Consider the following 26,488-nt stretch of genomic DNA (forward strand, 5'->3'; position numbering starts at 1 on the left):
GGTATTTGAATTAGTCTGTTCTCACATTGACTGGCTAATTTATGAAGAAAAGAGGTTTAATTGGCTCACAGTTCTGCAGGCTGTACAGGAATTGTGATGCTGGCATCTGCTCAGCTTTTGGGGAGGCCTCAGGAAGCTTACAATCATGGCAGAAGGTGAAGGGGGAGCAGACACATCACAGGCCAGAGCAGGAGCAAGCAAGCGAGGAAGGAGATGCCACATACTTTAAAACAACCGGATCTCATGAGAACTCACTCATTATTGTGAGGACAGTACCAAGGGGAATGGTGCTAAACTATTCATGAGAAACCTGCCCCCATGATCCAATTACTTCCCACCAGGCCCCACCTCCAACACGGGGGATTGCATTTCAGCATGAGATCTGGGTGGAGACAACATCCAAACTGTATCATTGCATGCTAGCCTTCTTGATCAATCAGTGACACATAGGGTGGAAGAGGCAGTCACTGTTAAAAGATCCGCAACAAGGAAAACATGTGAAAGAAATCCTTTGATGAGTGAGAGGGCTGCCTGGTTCCCACTCCAGGAGCTCATGGTTCTAATTCCTCAGCTTGCCAATAAATCTGGATTGCGACTGGTAATATATTAAAGAGTTCCAATGGCTCAAAAAGAAAACAGATTCCTAAACACGAATCATTATTTGGTTCCTTCATTAAGACAGCAATCACAGATATCAGTGTTTCATTCAGTTGTGTAGTACATAGTAAGCGAGACCTGACGTTGATCAGCACTTAGGTTGATCAGGACTTAGGAATTTTACCACTCATGAAACTAGGGAGCCTGTTTAACCATTTCACCTATAAGGAGGAACTGTGAAAATAAACTTCTCCAGGTTGATGTTTCTACAGATTTTGCAGGCTTATTCACAGGATGCATGGGTGCAGGAATTTTCTTCTGAAAAGAATGGGGTTGTGGAAGCGGCAGCCCACGGGGAGCGAGGCGGCCTTCTAATCCCATTCTGCCCTTGACCAACTGTGAGACCAATCAAGTTGCTTCTCCTCTCTATGCCTCACTCTGCCTTGAAACCTATTTCGTTACTTACTGGGGATTTTACCTAGCATTTAACATCATGACATTTAGCTCAGTCCAACACTTCAGCCACAATTACCCACGTCTGGTTCTGACACACGCCTTGCATTTTACTTTTCACATGCCTTACTGTCTTTGCCTGGAATGCTCTTCCATCGCATGTCCACCTCTGTGGCTGACACAGACTGTTGCCTAATCAATAGTTCTTCCCACCGTTTTCTCTCTGCTGTCTTTTCACTAGAGATGCTAGAATAGCTGTATCCTAATTTTCCAGCCTGTTGTTTACCTAGTGATATAAACGTAATGAAGTTTTGGTCAATGAGCAAAAGCAGAGTCCTCCTGGAAAGCTTTACCCTTTCCTGGCTGTGACTGCCCTTCTTCTTCCTGACTAAATAAGGATGTATTTGGAGCTTCAAAAGCTGTTTGCAACCATCAGGCATAAGCATGAGAGGAACACCGAGACTCACACATACCTTGACATTTTCTAGCTGCTAAATAAGCTCTGGCAGCTACATACCTCTAGACCTTTCCTATGTGAGAAGAATAAGCCCCCAATTAAGCCCTGTGTAAGGGCTTCCTATGACTTCTGGTCAAAAGCATTCCTAATTTTAAGGTGGCACTTAGGAGACCAGCTCCTTTCTATGGCCTTTCCTTTGTACTTCATTGATAAACTTCTTTAGGAGCTTGTAATGTTTTACCCTTAATAGGAGGCTCATTTTGATCTGAAGCTCTTTGCACAATGCTTAGTGTATAACACATTAATAAAAACTCAAATATCTGATGAAGAATTAGGGAGTTCTGACACTACACTTGGTATGCATTTGGGCATCACTTTAGCCTTTTCTCAAGTTTTACAATAACATATTTCTTAAGCTATAAGAGGGATACATTGAATATAATTTTCTCTTGCATTTCAACAATGAATATTTATTATGTTGGTGCAAAAGGAATGCAGTTTTTGCATTGCTGGAATTTGCTGTTTGATACTGGAATAAATTCTTAAATAAATGTGGTTATGTTATACATCATTTTAATGGGCAATTCTCAGTTTTTTTTTTTGCTAATGACTTGCTGTTTATGTTTATTTTACACTATGGAAATAATGTTAGACAAAAAGTAAATTTCAGCAATTTTCTTATTTGAGCTCAAAATTGGTCAAAAAGCTGCAGCGACAACTTGCGACAACTCATTTGGCCTAGGAACTGCTAACAAAGGTACAGTGCTGTGGTGGTTCAAGAAGTTTTGCAAAGGAGACGAGAGCCTTGAAGATGAGGAGCCTAGTCGCCGGCCATTGGAAGTTGTCACCGACCAATTGAGAGCAATCATGGAAACTGATCCTCTTACAATACTCGAGAAGTTGCCAAAGAACTCAATGTTGACCATTCGATGGTCGTTCGATCTGAAGCAAAATGCAAATGTGAAAAACCTCAATAAGTGGGTGCCTCATGCTGAGCAAAAAAAAAAAAAAACCATCGTTTTGAAGTGTTGTCTTCTCTTATTCCATGCAACAATGAACCATTTCTCGATCAGATTGTGATGTGTGATGAAAAGTGGATTTTATGTGACAACTGGTGATGACCAGCTCAGTGGCTGGACCAAGAAGCTCCAAAGCACTTCCCAAAGCCAAACTTGCATCAAAAAAAGGTCATGCTCACTGTTTGGTTGTCTGCTCCACTAGAGCTTCTTGAATCCCGGCAAAACTGTTTCATCTGAGAAGTATGCTCAGCAAATCCATGAGATGCACTGAAAACGGCAATGCCTGCAGCCAGCACTGGTCAACAGAAACGGCCCAACTGTCTCCATAATGACCCTTGACTGCATGTCACAAAACCAACGCTTCACAAGTTGAACGAATTGGCCTCATCCGCCATATTCATCTGACTTCTCGCTAACCAACTTCCACTTCTTGAAGCATCTCGACAACTTTTTGTAGGGAAAACGCTTCCTTGACTAGCAGGATGAAGAAAATGCTTTCCAAGAGTTTGTAGAATCCCGAAGCACGGATTTTTACGCCACAGGAATAAACTTATTTCTTGTTGGCAAAAACATGTTGATTGTAATAGTTCCTATTTTGATTAATAAAGATATATTTGATCCTAGTTATAATAATTTAAAATTCATGGCCCAAAACCGCAATTACTTTTGCACCAACTTGCTACCTAGGTACTATGCTAAGCACTAGGAATAGAGATAAGACAGAATTTCTGGTAACTGTGTATGTGTGATATGTGCCCTAACAAAGGTAAGAACAGGTGCTTCCTCAACATCTGCTTATCTCCCGCTTAACCCAGAAACTGGCTGTCAGGCTTGGCACAAATAAACTCAACTTTCCACCCTCTCATACTCCAACTTGCCCTCTTCTCCTTCATTCCACTCATGTAAAATGAAATACCGTTCATTCTGTCCAAGACCAACCCCACCAGCTGTGCTCTCAGGTACCACTTTTCACCTCTCGTGGGGTCCTGCTCTATCGGTTATCTACTCTCATGTTTTATTAACCAAAATTCCGGTGGGAGGTGGAGGGGGTATCTCTACTCACGGCAGCAATTTACGCACTTCTGATTCATGTCTCAACCCCCACAATCTGGGTTCTGCCATAACCACTTGACTAACAATGCTGCTCTGGTAATGGTACCAGAGGCTCTACATTGCCCTCTTTATGAACTGGATATTGCTTAGACAAGCCACCCTGCTGACCACAGCTACCTTCCCCAAACATATGACTATCTTGACTTCTGCAACACTACTCTTTACTTGATCTCCTCCCATTTCTTCAACCCTACAGTAGTTAGCCAAGGGACCATGGCGGGGGTCTCTGAGACCTTTCAGGGGATCCACCAGGAAAACTATTTTCATAGTTATCAGGAAGACATCTGCATTCTCTCATGAGTATACAGGGGAAATTACTAGACACTAAGTGATATGTGATATAGCAACAAATTGTAGATAGCAACAAATATAAGCACCCAGTTGTCTTCTATTAAGCCAAACATGAAAGAGACTTGCACTAGTGTCAAACTATCAATCTGCTGATTTAGGGGGAGGAAAAATGGTTATTCTTCATAAAAGTGTTATTTAACATAATGGATTTAGTCACTTTAAAATAGGTGTTTTTAAAAGCTTTTTTTTTCTAATATGATAAATGCGTCCCACATAAATGAAAGCTTTTTGGGGTCCTCAGTAATATTTAAGAACGTAAAAGGCCTAAGACCAGTTAAGTTGAAGAACCACATTCTTAAACTTTGTCTTCTTGGCTCTTCTTCAGCCAACTACTTCAATTTTGATGTTCCCTAGAATAGCATCCGTAGCCACGAATTTTCTCACCTTAAACTAGGATTTCTCAATCTTGGCATGACCAAACTTTTGGGCCAGCTAATTCTTTGTTAATGGGGGTTGTCCCCTGTGCATCCCTGGCCTCAGATGCCTAGCACCCCCTTTCCAAGTTGTGGCAACCAAAAACGTCTTCAGATATTGTCAAATAAAATCACCCCAGGATGAGAACTACTAACCTAAATAGTATTCCTAGATAATTCATCTAATATCTAGGTTTTAATTTGACTTATGATGATAATTCCACTTATCAAGTACCTATTCTGCACCAGGGACTATCCTAAGTACTTGATGTGTATTAACTCACCACAGTGGTGCCGACTACAGCCCCCATTAACAAAGAATTAGCTGGCCCAAAAGGTTGGTCATGCCAAGATTGAGAAATCCTAGTTTAAGGTGAGAAAATTAGTGGCTACGGATGCTATTCTAGGGAACATCAGAATTGAAGGAGTTGGCTGAAGAAGAGCCAAGAAGACAAAATTTAAGAATGTGGTTCTTGGCCAGGCGCGGTGGCTCATGCCTGTAATCCCAGCACTTTGGGAGGCCGAGGTGGGCGGATCACCTTAGGTCAGGAGTTCAAGATCAGCCTGGCCAATATGGTGAAACCCCGCCTCTACTAAAAATACAGAAATTAGCCAGGCGTAGTGGCAGGCACCTGTAATCCCAGCTACTCGGGAGGCTGAGGCAGAAGAATTGCTTGAACCTGGGAGGTGGAGGTTGCAGTGAGCCAAGATCGCACCATTGCCCTCCAGCCTGGGCAACAAGGGCAAGATTTCAACTGGAAAAAAAAAAAAAAAAAAAAAAAAAAAAAAAAAAAAAAAGAATGTGGTTCTTAAACTTATTGGTCTCAGGACCCTTTTACACTGTGTGAGATGGATCAATTATGACTCTCATTTTATAAAGAAACTGCAGAACAGAGAGTGATGTGACTTGCGTGGGGTCACACAGAGTTGGTGGTGCTGACTACTGCAGTGCTCATCACTCCTCTGAGCTTCAGAGCCCTGTGATTAACTACCTCTGCTGGGCATCCCAGGGGAAATTTACACCCAAGATACCCTAAATATGAACTAAAAAACCCTCTCTCCACAAGACCAGCTAGTTCTGTATTACCTGAGTCAGTTAATGGTGCAAGTTTAAATTCACCCTCTCTGTGCTTTAGCTTAACCAGAAACCTGGATGCCATTCTAGACTCTGCTTGGATTCTCTTCTTCCTTAGTCCTCAATCCAATCATTCCAGTTCCAACAATTTTCCCTTCTAATGATTTATCAAATACAACATTCTTCTCTATCTTCCACTATTCCTGTCCTTACTAGCGTCCTAATCTCTACTCTGCACTGTTGTAATCAACTCCCATTTGATGTCCTTGGCCCCTCAAAATCATCTTCTACACTGCTGCCAGAGTGATCTATCAGAAAATGCAAATCTGGTCATGTCAGGTTAGTGGCTGCCTGTGAGCTAAGGGTAAAGTCCAGGGTCCTCAGCACGGCCCCCAGGCCCTCAAATCAGTGGCCCTCTCCAACCTCAGTGCCTTCCTGTCACCGCCCCCCCAACCCCATCATACTTACCTCCCTGGCAGTGCTGTGCTGTTTGCCTGCCTGACCACACCAAGCTGCTTCATGCCTTTGATCCAACATCACCCCTTGGGAGGCCTTCTAGATTCCACACCTTGTACATCCTTCTGTCACAGCACTTAACCCAGTCTGTGACAACTATCTCTGTACCTGTGTCCCACATAGGCCTGTAAAGCCATTGATAACAGGTGCCTAGCTTAGTTCAAAAATCTCATCTTTCTCTCTCCAGGGCTTGGTATAGCAGGGGTCCCCAACCCATCAGTACTGGTCCGTGGCCTGTTAGGAACCGGGCCACACAGCAGTTGAGCGGTGGGTGAGTGCGCATTATGGCCTGAGCTCCATCTCCTGTCAGATCAGCGGCGGCATTAGATTCTCATAGGTGCACCTATTGTGAACTGTGCATGTGAGTGATCTAGGTTGCATGCTCCTTATGAGAATCTAATGCCTGATGATCTGAGGTGGAAGAGTTTCATCCCGAAACCATCCCCTCCCTTGACCCGGTCCATGGAAAAACTGTCTTCCATGAAATTGGTTCCTGGTGCCAAGAAGGTTGGGGATAGCTGTGATATAGCACTGGGCAAAGCATGCTTCAGAGATGTTTTGTAGAAGCACTGAGGTAAAAGAATGACACACAGCAATGAGACCTGTTTGGCTGGTGGGAGGGATGGGAGTGGAAGCTGTGGGATGAAGAGAGTTGGGAAAACTTTTGTTCAGAGAAGGTGACAATTGAGCTCAATCTTGAAGGAAGAGGGGGCACTCTAGACAGGAGTGATAAAGGGCCTGCTGGATAGAACAGTACTTGTAAAGGCCTGGAGGCCCAACAGGACGTGGCACATTTAGGAAACTGCAACTGATGATGACAGAGGACAGGATGCACATGTGGGACTTAGGCTGAGACTGGAGGAGCAGACAGGGCTCCTGCTATCAAAACGTGGCCTATATTATAGGTCTTGCAAGAGAGTTCCAAAGTATTTATTTCACTACTCTAATTACTTAAGGCACAATTCGCAGGTCATTAAAAAACGTTTACTAGTCTGCTTTTGATTGCTTATTCAGCACTACCTGTGTTAGTTTTGATAGGTAACTTAAGCTCCCTGTGCCTCAGTTGCCTTACAGGGTAATACAAATAGTACCTACCTCACAAGATTATTGTCAAAACAAATGTGTTAATAGACATGAAGAACATAAGATAGCAGTGGCACACAGAATTGATAGTGGATGTTGTGTTGCTATTGATTTGCCATCAGTGACAAACAGCTGCAGAGATTAGAGAGGAGGGAAGGGACTTTTCCTGAAATTCACAAGACACAGCCTTAATGTAAAAGGACGTATTTTTATAACAAGTAAGTTTATCTAGGGAGGTAATAGCAGGAATGTCGGTTTTTAGGTCTATGATCTCAGGTAACAGTATAAAATGATTATCAGATTCCTTTGGATAATATATTTATATTTGGATAGTAAATTTAGCTTAAAAGTATATGCTTAAGGTATAATTTGATCAATTATTTTCTGAATGCATATGATCTTACAGTTGCCCATACTGAAACCCATTTTCAATTTTCTGCCTTTCAGGTAGAGTCTTGAATGATTTTCCTAAAGTTTGAATGATTTTCCTGTTGAGTTTCGTGAATGATTTTCCTGTTCAGTTGGCAATTACTCATTTGAAAACGCTTGGGCCTCATTTGCTCATAAATCATTTCCAAAGAGAATTTCAGAAATGGAAGGGTCCTTAGAGATTGTCTAGTCCAACAGTCTATTTCATAAACAAGAAAACTGAAATACAGAGATTGAGAGACTTGTCCAAGTTAGTCTTCGAGGGCTCCACCTTGACTTTCTTACATGCTCTCACATAAACCCTCTCCCTGCCACTTTCCTTAGTGTGTGAACTGCCTGCTGATTCCAAGTCCTTGTGTATCCTGAGTAAGCTTTAATGACAAACTATTTTACTCCAGACTATGGTGAAATCAAATGGTTTCTATTTATTTAACTTGCATATTTCATGTGTTTCCTCAACAGACTTGGTTAAGTACTTGGTGCTAGGTGTTTGGTTAATTCTTGCTAAAATTCCACCAGTATGCTTATTATTACACTCTTTATTCTCCAAAGTCAAAGTCATTAAGTAAAATCATTCTCTCCCGTGAAATTTAACCACTTAACTGGGTGGATACAACCTCAGTGGTATGACCCAGATGCTGTTTTCAAATTTGCAGCATGAGTATATTTTCCAGGCGGGTTTCTAAAAATTTGAGAGTCATTGCTTAAGAGGCTTAGCGTTCCTGTCCTCTGACAGAGGTTGTACTGGGCAGACCCATCTCAGGGCCTGCCAGCTCACACACGTGCTGGAGGGGGGCCTACCTAACCAGGTGTGTTCCAAGGGTAGGCTCTGCTCTTATGACATCCAATCCACAGTCTGGCCAGTCACCTAAGTGAGGCTTGAGGTAAAGAGATGAGTTGATCCAACCAGATTCTTTCTCATGGGAATATGGCTCAAACTCAGAGAGAGACAGGTAGTTAGTAAAAACAAAACAAAACAAAAAACAAATCTAAAAAAAAATGCAGAGAGAGAATCCATAAGAAAATGATGGGTCAGAACCAGCAACACTGTGAAAGCAGAGGCTCTGAATTAGAAAAAACATACAAAGAGTAACAATAAAAGACTCATAGGCAAATAGGGGAGTGGGGAGGCGTGAGAAAAAGTGAATGTGTTATATTAAAGATGTGAGTTTAGGCCCTCAATATCCTGCTGTCAAGGTCCAGTAAGCGGGATCTCTGTCTGGTGAGCCAGGAGAAACTGAGGTTTCAGCTCCAAAGCTTGTGAGACCCTTTTTCCTTTTCCGCTACGCATTTCCACCATACCCTAAATAGAATGGATTCTTGCAACCAAAAGAACTCATTACGACACCTAGGAAATTTTAGGGAGGTGCTAGAGTGTGCCTTCAGCTTTGTCGCAGTGTACTACTCACTGGCCACTTCCACTCTCAACTCTTCCAGTGCTCAAGGGAAGTTTTACATATGCAACACACTGGCCTTAACTTCACAAATGACTGATTTCCATCCCTTTTTTCTCTTCTGCAGAAACATAACACTAATCATGCTCCTAGAATAACTACCAAGATAGCCTTTAGGGGGAAAACGTCACAAGACATGAACGTCTCCCCTGGTAGAAAGAAAGGCTCCTCCCCGAGGTCTCAGAGGCCACACCTGTAGGCAGGAGCACGCTTTTCGATGGCGGAGCCCGGTCCTTGCCTCGCAGCCGCCGGCAAACCACGGTGGCTCCCAGTCCCCGGGGATATTCCGCGTCAGCCCGCACCCCCGGTCCCCGGCCCCTGGCCCCCCGCCCCCGGCCCCCGGTGCCCGCTGGGTCACCTGTAATTGTAGGCGCTGAAACGCTTGCTCTCTCTCAGCATCGCCCGGTACAGAGATAACACTTGTGCGCGACTGGAGGCTGCCATTTTGGAAAGAAAAAAAAATAAACGGGTCCTCTTCGCCGAGGTCCCAAGTACGACCCAACCCACGAAACTCCAGCCTGTGCGGAAACCACGAACGAAATAAAATGCTGCGGCTCGGCTTTGCCAGCGGGCCGGGCCTAAGCCTAAGCGGGCAGCCCTGCGGATCGCGGACGGCGCCAGGCGTCCCGCGCCGCTTCGGGGGCGGGCGCAGGCAGGGCTCGGGGCAGCTAAGGGGGCGGTGCTGGGAGGGAGATGCCTCCGCCCCGCCCCGATCCCGCCCCCGCCCGGAGGCTCGGGACCCAGCAGCCGCTCCACGCGGCGGGAGGGCGGGGAAATAAGAGGACTGGCCGCCCGTGCATCCAGCCAAGCTCCTGGCGGACGGATATCGGAGGCCCAGGCATTCGAGGGACGTGCAGTTGCATCACGGAGAGCCTTTGGGAACCGTCTGGGGTCTTGGCGGAGACATTTGTGTTTCGGGGGCAGCGCCCCTTCCTACATCCAGGAGGCCGCGTTGCCCGGGTTACCGAAGGCCGCCGCACCGACGCCCCGCCCCTGACCGCCGATGCCCCTCCCACGCCGGCTGCGGTCGCCCTCGGCGCTGCCTGAGAGAGTTTGCGGGATTTCAAGGGTGACTTGATTTCGCCTGATCCTGGTCGGCAGGGTGGGGTTTCTTGGCATTCCTCAGGCCGGGGGATGCGACGTCTGGGTGTGGAGGTGATGAGCTAGGGGTTCTGTGGCACTCCGGCTCTGCTCAGGGCGACCTGCGTAGGGGCCTCTGGGGCAGGCCCGCTTTCTGTCAAAATGGCAGCGCCCAGCGTGCGCGGGTATCTCTGAAGTTGGGGTTTAAGATTCTTGCCCGTGAGAGCGAACGAGCCTGCCGTACTTCTGATTTTGAAACACCTGGGTCTGGGCTTCCCGGGCGAGCGGTGGGTGAGTGCCGGCCTCATTGCAGCCTGGGGTACGACGTGGGCGGTTGGTGTTGTAGGGGGTTTACATTGGCCGTGGATTTTTTCCTCTTTCCGGATGTGTTTTTGCTTTTGAGTGAAGAGTTCCCGTGGTTTTGTAACCTAATAAATGCATAAAATGCAGCTTGGGTTGTAGACTTTGGAGAATAATTAGAGACCTTTAGGGCTTTAGGCTTTCTCCAAGAAGCGGAGCAAGTTTTCAACCATGGCTTTCTTCAGAAGACTGCAGCTTTTTTGAATCATCTTATTAAAGTGGTGGATAAAGTTGCTTGTTCTGATCTTTGAGCATGGCACTGGACGCAGGAAGCTTCAGCCAGTCCTAGTTACTGTGTTTGCAAAGCACTTTTCTTGTTTTTGGAATCTTGCTTTATGTAATCAACCTTAGGAAGAACCACACCTTTCTGCACTCAAGCACAGCGAGAAGTACGTTATGCGTGAAAACAAAACAACTTTGCATTAAAATCCATCTTTCTCCGAACCACTTGGTCACGGTTGTGTTCTCATCTGCTTTAGTGTATTTGGTTTTGAAACGATATACCTGCTGTATGTCTAAACAACTTTATATTTTCAGGAACTTTTCTGTTTCCTTTTCTTTTTTTTGAGATGGAGTCTCGCTCTGTCGCCCAGGCTGGAGTGCAGTGGCGGGATCTCGGGCTCACTGCAACCTATGCCTCCCAGGTTCAAGCCATTCTCCTGCCTCAGCCTCCTGAGTGGCTGGGATTACAGGCGCGCGCTACCTCGCCCAGCTAATTTTTGTATTTTTAGTAGAGACAGGGTTTCACCATGTTGGTCAGGCTGGTCTCGAACTCCTGACCTCAGGCAATCCGCCCGCCTCGGCCTCCCAAAATGCTGGGATTACAGGTGTGAGTCATCACGCCCAGCCTCTATTTTCAGGAACTTTAAAGGCAGAAAAAACACTTCTCTGACCTTACCATTCTTTAGTGTACTTGCAACCTGGTGTCCTTGCATCCAGATATTCTTACTAATCCTGATGCAATGACATTTTTTAAAAGGCACTGAAGAGAAAATACTTTTATTAAGATATCTTTAAGTCTCCTCCCTGATTTCTTGAAAATCTCATGTCTGTTATTGTTTATTATTATTTTTTAAACAGGATAGCAAAACTTCTATTACTTCCTGGTTGGTCAGGTCATTGAGCAAATCTAGCCTCTGCTTTATTGAAAGGACTTTTTTGAGTTTTCCCTTTGCTATTTCTTAAAGGATCCAAGACCAAGGCAATTGCACATTGTTATAGAGTAAGATTCAGAGCTGATTTCTCTTGATACACTATTGTGTGCCAGTGATATGAAATGATATGCGGCACCTCAAAGCTACAACATTAATGCAAGTTACTGATAGAGAATGCTATCAGAGTGAAAAGGAAAAACTTGAAGATTATTTTGGCTTTTTTAAAAATAGCAAAGATTACATTATTTTATTATATTTTGCTTTTGAGAGTAAAGTTGGAATAATTACTATATACAATTGTTTCTACCTAATTATCAAGGAATTTAATCATTAACGTACATAATTAATGTATCTAAATTACTCAACTTTGTTGTAATCAAATAAAACTTTTCCAAATAAATATGTATAGTTTAAATAGTTTGGGTAGCTTAGTCCTCTGTTAGTACGAGCAATGGTTGCAGTTAGGAAAGTGATAGGCTTCCCAGTTAATTCTGAGCCAAGTCTTCATAAAAATACCTTATTATTTTATTTAAAATGGTTTACCAATGTGTTGGACATCATTGCCTGGAGAGGCTAAAAGAAAATAATCATTCCGTAGCTACATCTCACTTTTGCACATCTTCATTGCGGAGATGACTTAAAAAAAATAACTCGATTTGAGATTGTAAGTAGATTTGGGCCAGAAGCTGAAGAATGGACCTTACACATACGTCCTTTAATAGTCATTCTATTCTGGGTTGAAATTTTTCTTAGAGAGTATCTGTAAAACAGGAGGTACCATTTAGGCATCAAAACGTAAAAATTTCTTTAGTATTCATTTATCAAAAGTTATCGACTACCTGTAGTTCTTTATGGAAGATCATGTGTTACCTTCTATTAAAATTAGGGTTGTTAATGACCACTTAATGCTTTGTGAAGAGAAATTTCTCTAATCATAATAAACAGTGTAACAACAATTTACTGTCCTTAAGCTTAAATATCAAAATGATGTATAAAGTAAAATTTGTATAGTAGTAGTAACTTACGATATTATTTAGAAATTGTTCAGCTGGGCATGGTGGCTCACACCTGTAATCCCAGCACTTTGGGAGGTTGAGGCAGGTGGATTGCTTGAGCCCAGGAGTTTGAGACCAGCCTGGGCAACATGGCAAAACCCCATCTATACAAAAAATACATCATAGCGAAACCTCACCTCTACACAAAAAATACAAAAATTAACTGGGTGTGGTGGCATGTGCCTGTAGTCCCAGCTACTTGGGAGGCTGAGGTGGGAGGATTGCTTGAGCCCTGGAGGTTGAGGCTGCATTGAGCCATGATCACATTACTGCTCTGTAGCCTGGGCAACAGAGTGAGACCCTGTCTACCAAAAAGAAAAAACAACAACAACAACAAAAAGAAATTATTCTATTCTACACCACACATGAATCCAAGTATTATACATTGATCCTTCATTTTAATAGAACACGAAGGGGAAGGGGGAAGACCTTAGATATCAACTCATTCATTTGTACAGATGAACAAACTGAAGACTTTTTCCTCATTCGTTCATTCCTTCAGCATTTATTGAACACTTCCTAAGTACTATAGGTTATGGTTTTTCTTTTCTTTTTTCTTTTTTTTTTTTTTTGAGACAGAGTTTCACTCTTGTTTCTCAGGCTGGAGTGCAATGGTGCAATCTCGTCCGGCTAATTTTTTGTATTTTTAGTAGAGATGGAGTTTCACCATGTTGTCCAGGCTTTTCTTGAACTCCTGACCTCAGGTGATCCAGCTGCCTTGGCCTCCCAAAGTGTGGGGATTACAGGCGTGAGCCACCGCGCCCGGCCCATAAGTACCATATATTATATAAGATGATATAGTCACAGTGATGAGAGCTTCCCCACCCCTAAGAAACTTGTAGGTGACTAGATAAGCGAAACAATAATTTATTTTATAGAGACAGGGTCTCTGTTTACTAAGCTGGAGTGCAGTAGTGCTATCATATCTCGTTGTAACTTCAAACTCCCGTGCTGAAGTGATTTTCCTGCCTCAGCCTCCTGAGTAGCTAGGCCTATAGGCTCATGCCACCATGCCTGGCAGATTTTTAAGTGTTTTTTTTTTTTTTTGTAGAGATGAGATTTCACTATGATGTCCAGGGTGGTCTCAAACTCCTCAGTGCCTCTCCTGTCTTGGCTTCCCAAAGAGCTCAGATTATAGCTGTGAGTCGTGGCACTTGGCCAATAATTTCTTTTTGACAGTTGCTGCGATATGAGTAATATTAGTAAACGCTAAAGGAATAGGGAAGAGGAATATTGAACCAGGAGTTTCACCTATGGGAAGGCTTTCCATCGTAGAAGGTGTTTCCAGAATGAGAAGTAAAAGCCAGATGAGGAATGTGGTTAAAGATTGCAGTGTATATCCAAGCATGGAGGAAGAAGGGTGCTTGATCTATTTAGAGAACTCTTAAGTGTTTTAGAATGGTAGGAGGTGGGAAGGGAGGGACCACTGAAGTGTTTAGCCCTGTACTAGCTTTATTTTAGTGATGTTTTCTCTCTGTCTGGAATAAATCATTTCTTCCCTTATGCATTGGCTGAGTTATATAAGTAGAACTTAACAGCTGAGCTGTTGAAATGGAGATTATTTATTCAGGTACTGATAACCTTTTGTTTCAAATCATGACTTTGAATCCTATATTCCAGAGGCACTGAAATGTTATTTATTTACCTGTGCATTCAAGAGATAGCTGGCAGCCTAGCAATTTAAGTTACTGTTGTTGTGGTAACTTGAGGGCGATATATAAATCAAACACTGATCCTGTTTTCCAGAAGTTTATACTTTAAATGCATTTGTATATGATTAAAATAAGGTATTAGGTTGGTGAAAGTAGCTGCAGTTTTGACCGTTACTTTTAAGGGTGAAAACAGCAATAACTTTTCTACCATCCTGTACAAAGGGCTGCTGAAGCGTTGTGGGGTCTCAGTGCAAGGAGAGGTCACTTCATCCCTGATGCTTGGGCCACACCTCAGACCAACAGCAGTGCTAAGGCCCAGGCTTCAGATAATTTTGTTTAATTTTTTTTTAAAATTCTCTCCATGATTGGGTAGAGCCAGGGCTGAGAAACATTGACCTGAAGGAATTAGGGGGCTTCATGGAGGAGGTAGTGTTTGTGTTGGGCTTGAGAGGATTTAAGTTTCTCCTGGGCCTTGAAAGGAATTGAAGGATTTAAATGTTTGAATGTGGTGGTAAGATGGCTACTGTAGGTGGAAGATGACTCACCCTTTACCTTGAAAGGATGAAGGAGAAACCCTGATTGAGGTCTAAGAAAAAACAATCATGACCTGCGGAAGGCTTTGGCCAGAGCTGTAGAGTGCATGAGGGTGAGAACGGGGAGATCCCGTGAAAAGGTAATACATCGGCTTTCATATGTTTTAGGCATGAGATGAGCTGAATCCTGATATGATTTGAGTTAGTCTTCCCATGACCTGATGGAAGAGCTGTTATCTCCATTTAAGAAAAGTGAAGCTGCCCAGGTGTGGTGGCTCACATCTGTAATCCCAGCACTGTGGGAGGCTGAGGCAGGAGGATCACTTGAGCTTGGGAGTTTGAGGCCAGCCTGGGTAACATAGCGAGACCCCATCTCAATAAAATAGAATAAAAAAAAGAAAAAAAAATGAAGCTGAGAGTTTATTTAGCCAGGGTCACACAGCTGGAAAGTAGCTAGTGTGGACCTTGGCCTGAGATGTGATCTGTCTAGCTATGATACAACACTGCTTCACAGATAAAGTACCAGCTTCAGGAATTGGAAGGTTATTGATTTTTCTTGGATAACATGGGTACATTTCAGTCATATTTGAATTTTAATTTAGTTGGATTCTCACTTATTTGTAAAGCTAACCGGTTTGTATTGGAAATATTATAAATATTCTGGGAATCTCAAATGTTGATTTTATACTAGCTTTTTAGTTATTTAAGATAAATTTACATTTTATTCTATTAACATCTCTTTGAAAAGACGTAGTGCTTTTTTAGGTTGTCTATTTATGTGTGTATGTGAGACATTTCCTCTTGGGGGATTCTCTGAGACTCACATTTCTGTAGAAGCTTTTTTCAGATATACTTATGAAAATCTGTTCTCTGTTTTGAGAAATCTTGAAAGCTATGATATGTTGCAACTAGACACTCTAGCTTCATTGATTGGAGGCTAAGGGTTCCCGTATTTGTGGGCAGTAACAACAAAATTGACAATTTATTTTGTGTAAAGTATTTCAAATGTCAGTTATTTCTAGAGGTTTTTTTTCTTAAAAAAAAAAAACTCATTAATTCTTTTCATTGTAAAGGAAAGAAACCATCTTTTCATGCTACAAACCCCGACCACCATGAGAATTCTTTTACAGTGTGATTTGTTGTAATCTGTTATAGATCACTTTCATTCTTTCTTTCTTGCTGCATATGAGGGACCAGTATTTTAGGAATAATGTTTTCATATTGTCTGGATATTTTAGGATGATTTGTTAATCAAACTAGCTACAGCTTATTGTAATGATAGCTATTATTTATTTAGAGTTTGTTTTCTCTCTTCTAGGAGCTTTGCCATGAAAAGAACAGTCCAGGCCAGGCGTGGTGGCTCACACCTGTAATCCCAGCACTTTGGGAGGCCCAGGCAGGTGAATCACGAGGTCAGGAGATGGAGACCATCCTGGCTAACACAGTGAAAACCCGTCTCTACTAAAAAAATACAAAAAAAATTAGCCGGATGTGGTGGTGGGTGCCTGTAGTCCCAGCTACTCGAGAGGCTGAGGCAGGAGAATGGCATGAAGTTGGGAGGTGGAGCTTGTAGTGAGCTGAGATCGCACCACTGCACTCCAGCTTGGGAGACACAGCGAGACTGTCTCAAAAAAAAAAAAAAAAAAATCGCCACACTGTCTTCCACAATGGTTGAACTAGTTTACACTCCCACCAACAGTGTAAAAGTATTCCTGTTTCTCCACATCCTCTCCAGCACCTTTTGTTTCCTGACTTTTTAATGATCGCCATTCTAACTGGTGTGAGATGGTATCTCATTGTGGTTTTGATTTGCATTTCTCTGATGGCCAGTGATGATGAGCATTTTTTCATGTGTTTTTTGGCTGCATAAATGTCTTCTTTTGAGAAGTGTCTGTTCATATCCTTCGCCCACTTTTTGATGGGGTTGTTTGATTTTTTTCTTGTAAATTTGTTTAAGTTCTTTGTAGATTCTGGATATTAGCCCTTTGTCAGATGGATAGATTGCAAAAATTTTCTCCCATTCTGTAGGTTGCCTGTTCACTCTGATGGTAGTTTCTTTTGCTGTGCAGAAGCTCTTTAGTTTAATTAGATCCCATTTGTCAATTTTGGCTTTTGTTGCCATTGCTTTTGGTGTTTTAGACACGAAGTCCTTGCCCATGCCTATGTCCTGAATGGTATTGCCTAGGTTTTCTTCTAGGGTTTTTATGGTTTTAGGTCTAACATTTAAGTCTTTAATCCATCTCACATTAATTTTTGTATAAGGTGTAAGGAAGGGATCCAGTTTCAGCTTCTACATATGGCTAGCCAGTTTTCCCAGCACCATTTATTAAATAGGGAATCCTTTCCCCATTTCTTATTTTTGTCAGGTTTGTTAAAGATCAGATGGTTGTAGATGTGTGGTATTATTTCTGAGGGCTCTGTTCTGTTCCGTTGATCTATATCTCTGTTTTGGTAACAGTACCATGCTGTTTTGGTTATTGTAGCCTGGTAGTATAGTTTGAAGTCAGGTAGCGTGATGCCTCTAGCTTTGTTCTTTTTGCTTAGGATTGACTTGGCAATGCGGGCTCTTTTTTGGGTCATATGAACTTTAAAGTAGTTTTTTCCAATTCTGTGAAGAAAGTCATTGGTAGCTTGATGGGGATGGCACTGAATCTATAAATTACCTTGGGCAGTATGGCCATTTTCACGATATTGATTCTTCCTATCCATGAGCATGGAATGTTCTTCCATTTGTTTGTGTCCTCTTTTATTTCATTGAGCAGTGGTTTGTAGTTCTCCTTGAAGAGGTCCTTCACATCCCTTGTAGGTTGGATTCCTAGGTATTAGAACTAGAAATACCATTTCACCCGGCAATCTCATTACTGGGTATATACCCAAAGGATTATAAATTATGCTCTGTAAAGACACATGCACACATGTGTTTATTGCAGCACTGTTCACAATAGCAAAGACTTGGAACCAACCCAAATGTCCATCAATGATAGACTGGATTAAGAAAATGTGGCACATATACACCATGGAATACTATGCAGCCATAAAAACGGATGAGTTCATGCCCTTTGTAGGGACATGGATGAAGCTGGAAACCATCATTCTGAGCAAACTATCGCAAGGACAGAAAACCAAACACCGCATGTTCTCACTCATAGGTGGGAATTGAACAACGAGAACACTTGGACACAGGATGGGGAACATCGCACACCGGGGCCTGTGGTGGGGTTGGGGGAGGGGGGAGGGATAGCATTAGGAGATATACCTAATGCCAGCATGGCACATGTGTACATATGTAACAAACCTGCACCTTGTGCACATGTACCCTAGAACTTAAAGTATAATAAAAAAAAAAATGAAAATAACCAAAAAAAAAAAAAGAGAAAAGAAGAGTCCTTTCATTGCTGTTTAGCAGTATCTCATTTTAGTAATTTTTCTAGTGACATATTTGAAGTTCTGATTGACTTCTTCGAATGAGTGTATTAGCCGCCATCTCTTGTTTGTTCAGGTCAGTAGGTTGTTTACAGAAAACATTTAGAATTTGCAGTGTTGAGTCTGTTTACAAAAAACAGCCTACATTTTGCTAATCACTGGAAAAATACTAGGTCAGTGTCTTAAGATGTGCAATACTGAGATCTGTGATGTTAACTGATCTCTCAGAGGATGGGTCGATACATATCGTTGATAGTATACTGTAGACTGTTATTAACAATAGAAGATATACAGAGAATTCATGATTTCTTTGGTATTATAGTGAATTACATGATTTAATATTTTATAACGTTTTAATGTAAACATTTATTTTCTGAGCACAATTGAAGCACTTCAGCCTGGCAAACTTGTAATCTGTATGTGTAATTGTGAGTTTGAGTTAACTAACAATATTTAAGAGTTATAAAAGCCTGGCTTCTGTGAAATGGATTACAGTAATATTGGCAGAGAGTAAAACAGTTAGTTTCAGTTAATGAAGATGAGTTTTTTGGGAGAATTATCTTTTTTTAAATCAATTCCTGGAATTCTGCAGTGCAAAGGGAAAGTAAAATGAAGCAGTCATGAAATAGAAAAAGCTTAGCAGGCAGCATACTTTCTTTCCTGTTTCTTGACGTTCTGAGATAAGCACATTGTTATTTATTTCAAGTCTTGGAGCACTTTGAGACAAGCACATGTGCCTGGGCATTCATAACATTAAGCCCTGTTAGGAATCCCACTTACACCCTTGGCTTCTGCGTACTGTGAGAGCTGGGCTGGATGATAATTACAGTCAGCTTTCATTTGTAGAGCCCAGGTCTTCAAATAATTTCCAAGTAAACTATCCCAGATTAATACGTTTCAGGACATAAGTGTGGTTCGCTAGAGCTGTCAAGCTGTCTGGATGCCCTTCTGTTAACTTTGTAGAAGAGATTCCACGTGTGTCAAGTTACAGTGTTTGCTGAAATTTTTCTGTTGTCTTGAAAGCTATTTGAAAATGAAATGTTCATTATAGTACTGGTGGTCAGGTATGTTCCTTAGATATATATGAATTAATGTCACCACACTATAGACAGTAATTTTTATATCACCTTCTCTCCAAAAACCTGCAGCACTTTTAGGATGAAGTCTAATTCCTTAACACAGCCTATGAGACCCTGACGACTATGGCGCTTACCCACTTCTCCAGTCCCATGTCATACCTTTTTATTTTTCGCTTGCTGCTTTTCATTCTTTAGTACTCACCTCTTTCCCCTCTACCCTGGGGACCTTTGCAAATGCTGATCCAGCTGCCTGGAGTGCCCTTCCTTCCCTTGCTAATTATTCTTCTGATCTCAGTTTAAGAGATGCTTACTCAAAGCTACCTTCTCTAACTTGAGTACATCTTCCTCTGTTAAGCTCCCTTAGTATGGTGAATTGCTCTTCAGCTTAGAGTGACTGCCATTGCAAGTAACTGAAGTCAAATTGTTTTAAACAAACCTAGTGGCTTTATTGTCTCCTGTGTCTTGAGGGTTCAGAAGCCAGATGGGCTTTAGGGTTGATTGGTTTGAGTGATGTTGCCAAAGATTCAATTTTGTGCTTTTCTCTACTTTGTCTTCTCTAACGTAAATTTTATCGTCTGGCCAGAGTCCTCTCTCTCGGTTATGGGAAACCATCAACAGTTTGGGGGCGCTTGTTTCCAAAACCTTAGAGGAGTGAGAGAGCTTCTGGACCAAGAGTGCTCAGCAGTCCTCTCCGTTCATGTCACTGGCCCTCCTTGTGTCATGTCCTCATCCATTTCTGAACCAATAACTGTGACCAGGGAGAAGATAGGATTCTTTTGGTCTTGAACCAGTTGCCTAGCTCCTAGAGATAAAGGGGAATTATTTTTTGTAAAAGGAACAAAGTTCACTAGAGCAATCTTGCCAGAGTTATATTTTTTTATTTGATTAATTTTTTTGTGATATTAGGCTGTGTATAAGAACAGAGACTATGTCTGTTTTTTTTTTTTTTTTTTTTGAGGCGGAGTCTCGCTCTGTCACCCAGGCTGGAGTGCAGTGGCACGATCTTGGCTCACTGCAACCTCCGCCTCCGGGGTTCAAGCGATTCTTCTACCTCAGCCTCCCGAGTAGCTGGGACTACAGTCGCCCGCCACCACGCCCGGCTAATTTTTATATTTTTAGTAGAGATGGGGTTTCACTATATTGGCCAGGCTGGTCTTGAACTCCTGACCTTGTAATGTGCCCACCTCGGCCTCCCAAGTCTGTTTTTGATTACTATTGTTTCTTCAACATTTTACATCTAGCTTTGCATATAGTAAATGATCGATAAATATTAATAGTGTAATGACTCAATCACGTAAGCTCCAAATACAGTAAGGACCCCCTGCCGCCACCACCCTTACCCATGGTTTTGCTTTCTTAGTTACCCAGAGTCAACTATGTTCTGAAAATATGTAATGGAGAATTCCAGAAATAATGCATGTTTTAAATGGGTGTGTTCTGAGTTTTGTGTTGAAACCTGCCCAGGGCATGAATCCTCCCTTTGTCCAGTGTCTCCATGCTGCATACACGCTACCTGCCCATTAGTCACTTCGTTGCCTTCTCAGTTACCACAAGATCACGATTTTCGTTATGGATAGATGACAAGAAGAAACAGGGTGAGTGCAGTGGGATGAGGTACTTTGAGAGAGAGAAGAGACCATATTCTTTCTCTTTTTCATAACTTTTATTACGGTAGGTATATTGTTATAATTGTTCTACTTTTTATTAGTTTTTCTTGTTGAATTAATGATGGGTTTTTCTTTTTTCTTTCCAAAAAATAATAATAACCACTATCTTATGCGGAAATGATATCACGAACAGTTGCATTATCAAATCAAGGAGGAAATGCAATCAGAGAACAGGCAGAAAAACTATGATTATAATGGTTTGTATTTTTCTTGTCTCAGATTCTTTTATTTATTTATTTTTATTGATACATAATAGATGTACATATTTTTGGGGTACATGTGATACTTTAATACATTCATATAATTTATAAAGATCAAATTAGTGTAATTGTGATATCTATCACCTTAAATATTTGTCTTTATGCTAGAAACATTCAAATTGTTTTCTTCTAGCTATTTTGAAATATGCGATAGATTATTATAATCTATAGTCTCCCGGTGATCCATCAGACACTAAGTCTTATCTCTTCTATCAAGCTGTATTTTTACTTGCTAGTCAATGTCTCTGCATCCCTCCTGCCCTGTACCCTTCTTGGCCTCTGGTCACCACCAGTCTATTCTCTCTTTCCATGAGATTCACTTTTTTAGCTCCGACATACGAGTAAGAACATATGGTATTTGTCTTTCTGTGCTTGGCTTATTTCACTTAACATAATGTCCAGTTCCATTCATGTTGCTGCAAATGGCAGAACTTCATTCTTTTCTATAGCTGAATAATGCTCTGTTGTCTTTTTATGCCACATTTTCTTTGTCCTTTCATCCCTTGATGTACACTTAACATTGATTCCATATTTTGGCTTTTGTGAATAGTGCTGCAATAAACATGGGAGTGCTGATTACAATGCACATATCTTTTTGATAATACTGATTTCTTTTCTTTTGGATATATTCCCAGCAGTGGAATTGCTGGACATATGGTAGTTCTATTTTTAGTTTTTTGAGGAACCTCCACACAGTTTTCCATATTGGCTATACTAACTTATATTTCCACCAACAGTTTACAGGGGTTCCCCTTTCTCCACATCTGTGCCGGCATCTTTTATTCCCTTTTTGATAAAAGCCATTTTAACTGGGGTTAGATGACATCTCATTGTGGTTTTGATTTGCATTTCTCTGATGATTAGTGATGTTGAGCATTTTTCATGTATCTACTGGCCATTTGTATGTCTTCATTTCAGAAATGTCTATTGAGATCTTTGGCCCAATTTTTAATCAGATTGTGTTTTTTTTTTATTGAGTTGTTTGTGCTCATTATATATTCTGGTTATTAATCCCTTGCCAGGTGGATGGTTTGCAAATACTTTTTCCTATTCTGTGGGAGATTCTGGGTTGTGTTTTCACTTTGTTGATTGTTTCCTTTGCTTACAGAAGCGTTTTTGCTTGATGTAATCTAATTTTTCTCTTTTTGCTTTGGTGGCCTGTACTTTTGAGGTCTTCACAAAAAATCTTTGCCCAGACCAATATCCTGGGTTGTTTCCCCAATGTATTCTTGTAGTAGTTTCATAGTTTCAGGTCTTAGATTTAAATCTTTAATCTACTTTTATTTGATTTTTGTATATGGTGAGAGATAGGAACTTAGCATCATTTATTGAAGAGTGTTTTTTTTCCCCATTGTATGTTCTCAACACCTTTGTGGAAAATAAATTGACTGTAAATGTATTGATTTATATCTGGTTCTCTATTTTATTATTAGTTATTGTTGTTAAATCTCTTACTCTACCTAATTTATAAATTAAACTTTATCATAGATATTCACGTACAGGAAAAAACATAGTAAACAGTACTTAGGGTTTCGTACGCTCCACAGTTTCAGGCATCAACTGCAGGTCTTGGAACCTCCGTAGACAAAGAGGAGCTACTGTAACTTACCTGTAAAAATTATTGAGTGACTTTGGCAGATAGTATTAGTTGGCTACCCATCAGCCATATCAACCGTACTTCTTCCCGGCCATTAGAACCCTGATTTTGTTTGGGTGGCCATGTGCCTAGTTCCTGGAAATGAATTGTAATGCGGTCTTAGGCTTCATAGTGATTGCATTCCCTCTTTACCAGATACTTGTTTGTCATAGCCAGGCATAGCCACAAGACACAGATCTGGTTAATGAGACAACAGGAAGTTGTCTGGAAGGTTTCTAGGAAAGATTTTGTTTTCTATTAAAAGATAAGTATTTGCACAAGAGGGCTTACTTGTGTCATCTTCTCCCCTGCTTGGAATGCAAGTAATACTAAAGCTTGAAGCTCAGCAGACACACATGAAGGAAAGGCCAAGAGAATATGAGATTCCAGCCTAAACATTGGCTTTTCTGAGCCATGAAATGAACCCTGGAACTGGATGCGTCTAGACTTCGTGTTTTGTTAACAACTAATGTCTTTCTGTTTTCAGCCACGATTATTTAGTCTTTCTGTTTTATGCAGCTCACCATGTCTTTTTTTTTTGAGACAGGGTCTTGCTCTGTCACCCCAGCTGGAGTGCAGTGGCACAGTCATGGCTCACTGCAGCCTCCAACTTCCGGGCTCAAGCAATCCTTCTGCATCAGCCTCCCAAGTAGCTGGGACTACAGGTGCATGCCACCTCACCCAGCTAATTAAAACAAATTTGTTTTTGGTAGAAATGGGGTTTTGCTCTGTTGCCCAGGCTAGTTTTAAACTTCTGGCTTCAAGCAGTCCTCCTGCCTCGGCCTCCCAAAGTGTTGGGATTACAGGTGTGAGCCTGGCCCTACATATTTCAATATAGTGCCAAAAATAAAATAGAACTTCCCCGCTTCAGCCTTGCCAAAAGTCTTTATTTGGAATTTATTATATTTGTCAATTTAAGTTATTTGTTTTTGCTGGTTGCGAATCACTGGGATATTTTCTTTCTTTTTCTTCTTAAACAGATGCATTTGTTACATGTACACAAGGCCAAGCTTTTTTGCACTGAAGGACATTGGTATATGAGGGTCCTTCTCTTGAATAATCAATATTTTCTTATACTCTTCACTCCAGTCATGACTACTCAGCTTAAATGTTACTTCTTCAGGGAATGTTCCCAACCTCAGTTTAAATTACACCCTTCTGATTTTATCATTATTTCTTATGACATCTTGTTCTTTACCTTAACTTTTTATAATTTAAAATTGTACAAAGTAGATCTACATAATAGAAGGTTCCTGGTTTAATGTTGAGTTCTCCCACCAGAATGTGAATTCTGTGAGGGCTGGGACCATGTCTATTTTGTTCATCACTAGAGGCATAGTGCCTACTAAGTGCTCAGTAAATCTTTGTTAAATGAGGAAATGAAGGAATATAAGCCTGAAATTTTTAGATTTCTGCATCTTTCATCCTCCTGCCCTGTCACCACCAAGAATATTAGGTAACATGAAGTGTTCAGCCACAGCACAGATTCTGTTGCATTTGTTTGGATTATATTGCTCCCTACTGGCCAGGATTTAGGTTTAGATTTTAGGCTTTTAGACTTTAATTTTGTTTGCCTCAATAGAAAATATAATGGGAGTAGCATAGTCACTTAGCATAGTATCTGAGTAAACATCCTGTCAGTTCCTTCAGAAGAGTGATACATATTTTGCATACTTTATCTCTTGCGTTACGATATATTCTCCCAGAATTTTATATTATCTTAAGCTTTGCTGGCACTATTTTTATATATTGAAGTTAAGAGCCCCTAGTAGTGAATGTTTTTATTTTCTGCTTTTGGATAGCACTAGAAGCATGGAAATGACTATCATTTTAGCTCTGTTACTAGTCACAATCATTTAAAATTGCATTTGGAAACCCTATTTTCTTTCTGAAAAAGTAGGCTCAATGGGGGAGTTGTAAGAATTATTGACACAAGTTATTGACTTAGAATGGAGGTACTTTAAAATAAATTTTTTAGTTTCAGCATGCTGTAATTCTAGATTGTTGGTATTAGTTTTACCGTGTCTGGGAAGATTTATTGTGCATTTTTGAAATGAGTGTAAATGCTGTATATATGTGATAGTAAGGGAGAAAACTTGACTAAGATTTTGTCGATTTGGTCTCATTTCACAGCTGTATCATAGGTTTTTTCACATCATTTTAGGTAAATTACTTAACATTTAGATAATCACATAATTTATTTCCTACATCAGGACACTTGAGATCAGTGAAAGTGGGTGCTATTAAATAATTATACTGGCATGACAGGCATAAACATGAACTGTCTTGGGGATACTGAGACATATGGTCACTCTATTTGATAACAATAATCTGTGATGACTATGTTAATCTGCATACCCTTGTGAATTGCAGGAACTAAGAATTGGAGGCTCATCAAAGAGCTTTACTTTCCCTTTATTCTTTACGGAATGGCTGCATCCTCAACACCTTCTGCCCAGAGGTGTGATTCTTCAATTGTGTGGATCACTCTGGGTCCCCAAACTGATGTGGTTCCCTGGGCAGTAGGAGACTGGGACTGTGGGTTGTTCTCTGCTTCAGGGATGAATCTCTTTGTGCAGGATTAGCTGGCTGTACTAAGCCGGGCATCCAGGAGGAGGGCATGTTGGGCTGTCCAGACACTCCCAAGGACTTGGCTGACCCCAAAGATTTCTCTCTGCCTGTCTCTTCCCATCTCTATAAATCAGGCAGCACAGGAGGAACAAACACATGTTATTGTTTTACCTTGAAGTGAAATCCACCTATTCCTCCTCAGTGCAGGCTCAGTATCTCCTGAGCCAGCCTCAGTGCATTGTGGTGTAAAGAGAAATAATTTTTTCTCCCTGTGGTGTTTAAGCCTAATTCAAATAGAAGCTGCTCTGTGATTAACTTACCTTTCTGTCATTCATTGATCAAATGGTGACTGAAGAAGAAGCTGAATGAAGGCACAGATAGCGAGTGCAGCGTCATGTCACACAAAGCTTTTGCATTTGTCAGCAGGGGCTGGTTCACAGTTTTGTTTTTTTTTTTTCTTTTCTTTTCCCAGATTAATTGTTACTTGTCACATGTAGATATTTGACTTCTTGAAAGACTTAAACCAAAACATTAAATAAAGTAGCAGCTTAGAATGGCAAAATGGTTGGTTTTTTAAACAAACTAAATTGACCCAAGAGATTTTAGAATGACTATATTTTTCAGTTACATTTTTGAGGAAAAGAAAATGGATATCAATTACAAATGGGTGGTTGCAGATACATTTTTTTAATAGTTCCAATAATACACATTTTTTTTATTTACCAGAAAAGTACAAGTTCAGCTGCAAAGAAAATGCAGTAAAACTTGGTAAAGTTAAGGAATGCCACCTTCTGAATACTCGATACATTTGTTTGTAAAGAGACGATATATCGTATCATCTCTGTAGGGCATAAAGGGTGCTGGCAATTTCAAAACTAAAATCTGTTTCTGTGTTATAGCATATTATCAGCAGTACCAGATTTACAGTGAATACATTTAAGATTTGAAAGATATTTTGGGGACTTTTGGTTCTTTATTAAATCTTTATATATCATGATTGATAATATGCAAGAACATTGGCTTTTTTTCCTTGCTCAGCATTATTCAAAAATGTTTTG

At 41.0% G+C, this 26,488-nt stretch overlaps 2 protein-coding genes across 33 annotated transcripts in view, besides 3 other annotated features; one reads left to right on the forward strand and one right to left on the reverse strand.

Annotated features, from left to right (window-relative positions):
• The window catches only part of LYRM4 (LYR motif containing 4), a 229,198-nt gene extending 219,577 nt beyond the window's left edge, over positions 1–9,621 (reverse strand). For all 10 annotated transcript variants that reach the window (NR_134856.1, NR_104418.1, NR_104417.2 and 7 more), the window contains exon 1: positions 9,319–9,621. Coding sequence is in view for 7 of the 10 variants with exons in the window: in XM_017011084.3 (XP_016866573.1) it covers positions 9,319–9,404 (86 nt within the window). In the remaining 3 variants the exon portion in view is untranslated. The remainder of the gene's footprint in view (positions 1–9,318) is intronic.
• Positions 1–26,488, forward strand: part of FARS2 (phenylalanyl-tRNA synthetase 2, mitochondrial) — a 521,650-nt gene that overhangs the window by 1,396 nt on the left and 493,766 nt on the right. For 12 of the 23 annotated variants that reach the window (XR_926027.4, XR_007059198.1, XR_007059199.1 and 9 more), the window contains exon 1: positions 10,184–10,331. The exons of 1 other annotated variant lie outside the window; for it this stretch is intronic. The gene's annotated coding sequence lies outside the window, so the exon portion shown is untranslated. Of the gene's footprint in view, positions 1–9,677; positions 10,063–10,183; positions 10,790–13,660; positions 13,750–16,112; positions 16,195–21,096; positions 21,161–26,488 lie in introns of those variants that run through there. 10 more of the 23 variants (XR_007059197.1, NM_001318872.2, XM_047418087.1 and 7 more) reach the window with 7 other exon arrangements.
• Positions 8,852–8,901: an enhancer, noted in NCBI's record as "active region_23902". NCBI's record gives its function as "activates an Ori minimal core promoter by ATAC-STARR-seq in GM12878 lymphoblastoid cells {active_cell/tissue: GM12878}" and the evidence as "EXISTENCE:reporter gene assay evidence [ECO:0000049][PMID:35858748]".
• Positions 9,112–9,421: a silencer, noted in NCBI's record as "silent region_16873". NCBI's record gives its function as "represses an Ori minimal core promoter by ATAC-STARR-seq in GM12878 lymphoblastoid cells {active_cell/tissue: GM12878}" and the evidence as "EXISTENCE:reporter gene assay evidence [ECO:0000049][PMID:35858748]".
• Positions 9,482–9,701: a silencer, noted in NCBI's record as "silent region_16874". NCBI's record gives its function as "represses an Ori minimal core promoter by ATAC-STARR-seq in GM12878 lymphoblastoid cells {active_cell/tissue: GM12878}" and the evidence as "EXISTENCE:reporter gene assay evidence [ECO:0000049][PMID:35858748]".

This window comes from Homo sapiens, chromosome 6 (genome assembly GCF_000001405.40).
Source record: "Homo sapiens chromosome 6, GRCh38.p14 Primary Assembly".
NCBI lineage: Eukaryota > Metazoa > Chordata > Mammalia > Primates > Hominidae > Homo > Homo sapiens.